Raw genomic sequence first — 2,794 nt, 5'->3', positions numbered from 1 at the left:
ATTCACTAGGAAAACCGTTGGGAAGTATCGGTCTTTAGCTCTGAGCTAACCCTAACTCCTAGAGACCTAAAATGTCATTAAAGTCCACCAGCCAGAGTGAAATATTGTGGAAGTAAGTCACTAATGATTTTTTTCTTTTATAAATATTCGTAACATATTTATTGAAAGTCCAGCCATCCTAGAGGCTGCTAAAGATATTTTTATCATTTTTAGTTTTTATTATAAAAAAGTTCTAAAATATACAAAATTAAGTGTATTTAATATAAAAATAGCAATGTACCCATCATTAGCTTTAACAATGATTAACTCAAGGCTAATCTTATTTCCTCTTTACTCCCTAACTTCCTCTCTCAGATTATATTGAAACAAATTTAAACAGCAATGATTTTGTCTATAAATATTTCAGTGAGTACTTCCAAAAGACAAATAACTCTACTTTTTAACCACAATACAATTACACAAAAAATCAACAGGTTAACCGAGTTTTAAAAAATAAGCTACTATATCTATCTTAGATAATTGAGCATACAAGAAAAACGCTCAACACTTGGTAATTGTGTCAATCAGGATAAGTCAGGAGACAGAAACCACACAGTAATTTGAACAGAGAAAGTTTAATATAAGCAATGACTAATTAGTAACAGGAAATTAATAACTAAGGGGTAAAAAGAACTCTAAAGAACATAGAAATAGCAGATACAGGAGGAAGTTACTACATCTAGGCTTGAGGCAGAGTGCCTCTGGAGATAGAAAAAATATGAACCAAAGTGTTTTTACTATTCTTGCACTCAAAAATCAACACAGAATACTTCTGCAACCTCTGGTTACCAGAATGTGTGGGGATTTCTTCCCACCAGCAACCAATTAATTCTGCAGCAAATTCTCCAGCAAACATCAGCTGGGTGTCTTCCAACTCAGTTCAGTTCTGATACTACATTCCCGGAGATAGCATCAGATTCCACAAGTTGAGGGCTCAGTCCCACAAAACTGCCTTCCACTTCAGATGTCAGTTCAAAGCATAGGTTGTGACCTGTGCCTCTGACCAACTGGCTATAAATTAGGGTTCCTATGACCTCCTCCTGGGTTTGATTAATTTGCCAGAGTGGCTCGCAGAACTCAGGGAAGCCCTTTACTTATGTTTGCCTGTTTATTATAAAGGATACAGATGAACAGCCAGATAGAAGGGATGCATAGGCAAAGTATGGGGGAAGGCAGTGGAGCTTCCATGCCCTCTATGGGCACAGTATCTGGAAGCTCATCCAAACTCAGGCCTTTTGGGGTTTCACGAAGGGTTCATTAAATAGGCATGATTGATTACATCATTGGCCACTGGAGATCAACCTGACCTTCAGCCCCTCTTCCCTCTTGAGAAGTTGTCAAAGGTAGGGTGGGAGGTTTAAAGATTCCAACCCTCTAATCGCATGGTTGGTTTTTCTGGGTGACCCGCCCTCATCCTGAAGATAGTTAGAGGCCCCCAGCCACCAGTCATCTCATTAGCATACAAAAAATCATTCATTACTCTGGAGATTCCAAGAGTTTTAGAATCTTTTTGCCAGGAAACTGGGACAAAGACTAACTAAATGTTTGTCAATATCACAGTAACCAAGGAATTCAGAAGAGTCCCCCTCCCCCACCCCTGCTGCTGCCAGTAAGGCTGGTTAGGACTTCACTGGAAAGGATACAGCCATGGCCCATTGGAGAACATATAATTTACTGAGGTACCACAGGCTGGGGCTGGTAACCAGGAAACCTCCTCCTAGGGTGCTGAAGGAACTTGGTGGGAAGCAGCTCACTGGACTATTTGCAAGACTTGCTGGATGTTTCTCGGAAACCTCCAACAGGGATGCCCGTGGAACTCATTGGGAAGCCAACTTCTAGGATACCAATGGAATCTGCTGGGCATCCACTCCCAGGGGTGCTACTGAAATCTGCTGGGGGGGTGCCCCGCATGGTGCTAACTGCTGCATACTGCAGGTGCAAGCAGGAAGGAAGGCACAGTAGGCGCAGGAAGAGAAGCCCCTTTCACCTTCAGTGTTCCTCCAGCTCCCTCTATTGACAAAGCTAAACATTGCTGTGGGTGGCAAAAAAATATTTACAAGGTCCAGCTCCAATATCACAAAGCAAAGCAATAAAGGGAAGGGTACATTTGGAGCTAAGAGGGAACTCATTGATAATGGGCACAGTGATATTCTTTGGATGTAGGAGGCAATACATACCTCAATTAGATGTGCTGCTCTTTTCCACATACAGAATAGACCTAAAGACTGACAACTCTGATTGAAGCCCACAGAAGCAAAGGCTCTCCAGCTGGTCCAGGCTATAGTGCAAACAACTCTGCCACATGGCCCCCATGACCCAGTGCATCTAATGGTGCTCACACTGACTGTGGAAGATCAAGATGCGGTGTAAAGCCTAGGGCAAGCTCCAATAGGAGAATCATAGGGGCATCCCCTAGGTTTTTTGGAGCAAACCTATGTTCTCTTTAGGCAGTTTTTATTATCCTTTTGAAAAAAAATTATTGATAGCCTGACAATGTGTGGTAAGGCATGGTCAGACTTTCTGCACCAATTCTTTGATTCAGCCCCATTATGCAGTAATGCATAAGATGTGAAAGTAGCCAAATCATACAGTCGCTATACAAGAAATTTCTACTATGCTAGTACATTGGATCCTTGAGTGCTATATGGCACCACTCTGCAACCTAAAATGCTCCAAAAGGCAGAAAGCTTGTGGTTCTGGGCTCCTTTATCTCACTGAATGTCTTACTCTGCATTGGCTTCTGAGACCATTGAAC

At 41.9% G+C, this 2,794-nt stretch overlaps 1 annotated feature.

Moving 5' to 3' along the window:
* Window positions 890-1,390: an enhancer, noted in NCBI's record as "H3K4me1 hESC enhancer chr1:151941289-151941789 (GRCh37/hg19 assembly coordinates)". NCBI's record gives its function as "activates a minimal SCP1, AML or CMV promoter by ChIP-STARR-seq in naive H9 embryonic stem cells {active_cell/tissue: H9 hESC(naive)}" and the evidence as "EXISTENCE:reporter gene assay evidence [ECO:0000049][PMID:30033119]".

Source organism: Homo sapiens, chromosome 1 (assembly GCF_000001405.40).
Source record: "Homo sapiens chromosome 1, GRCh38.p14 Primary Assembly".
In the NCBI taxonomy this organism is placed as follows: domain Eukaryota; kingdom Metazoa; phylum Chordata; class Mammalia; order Primates; family Hominidae; genus Homo; species Homo sapiens.
This window is presented reverse-complemented; position numbering and strand designations above follow the sequence as displayed.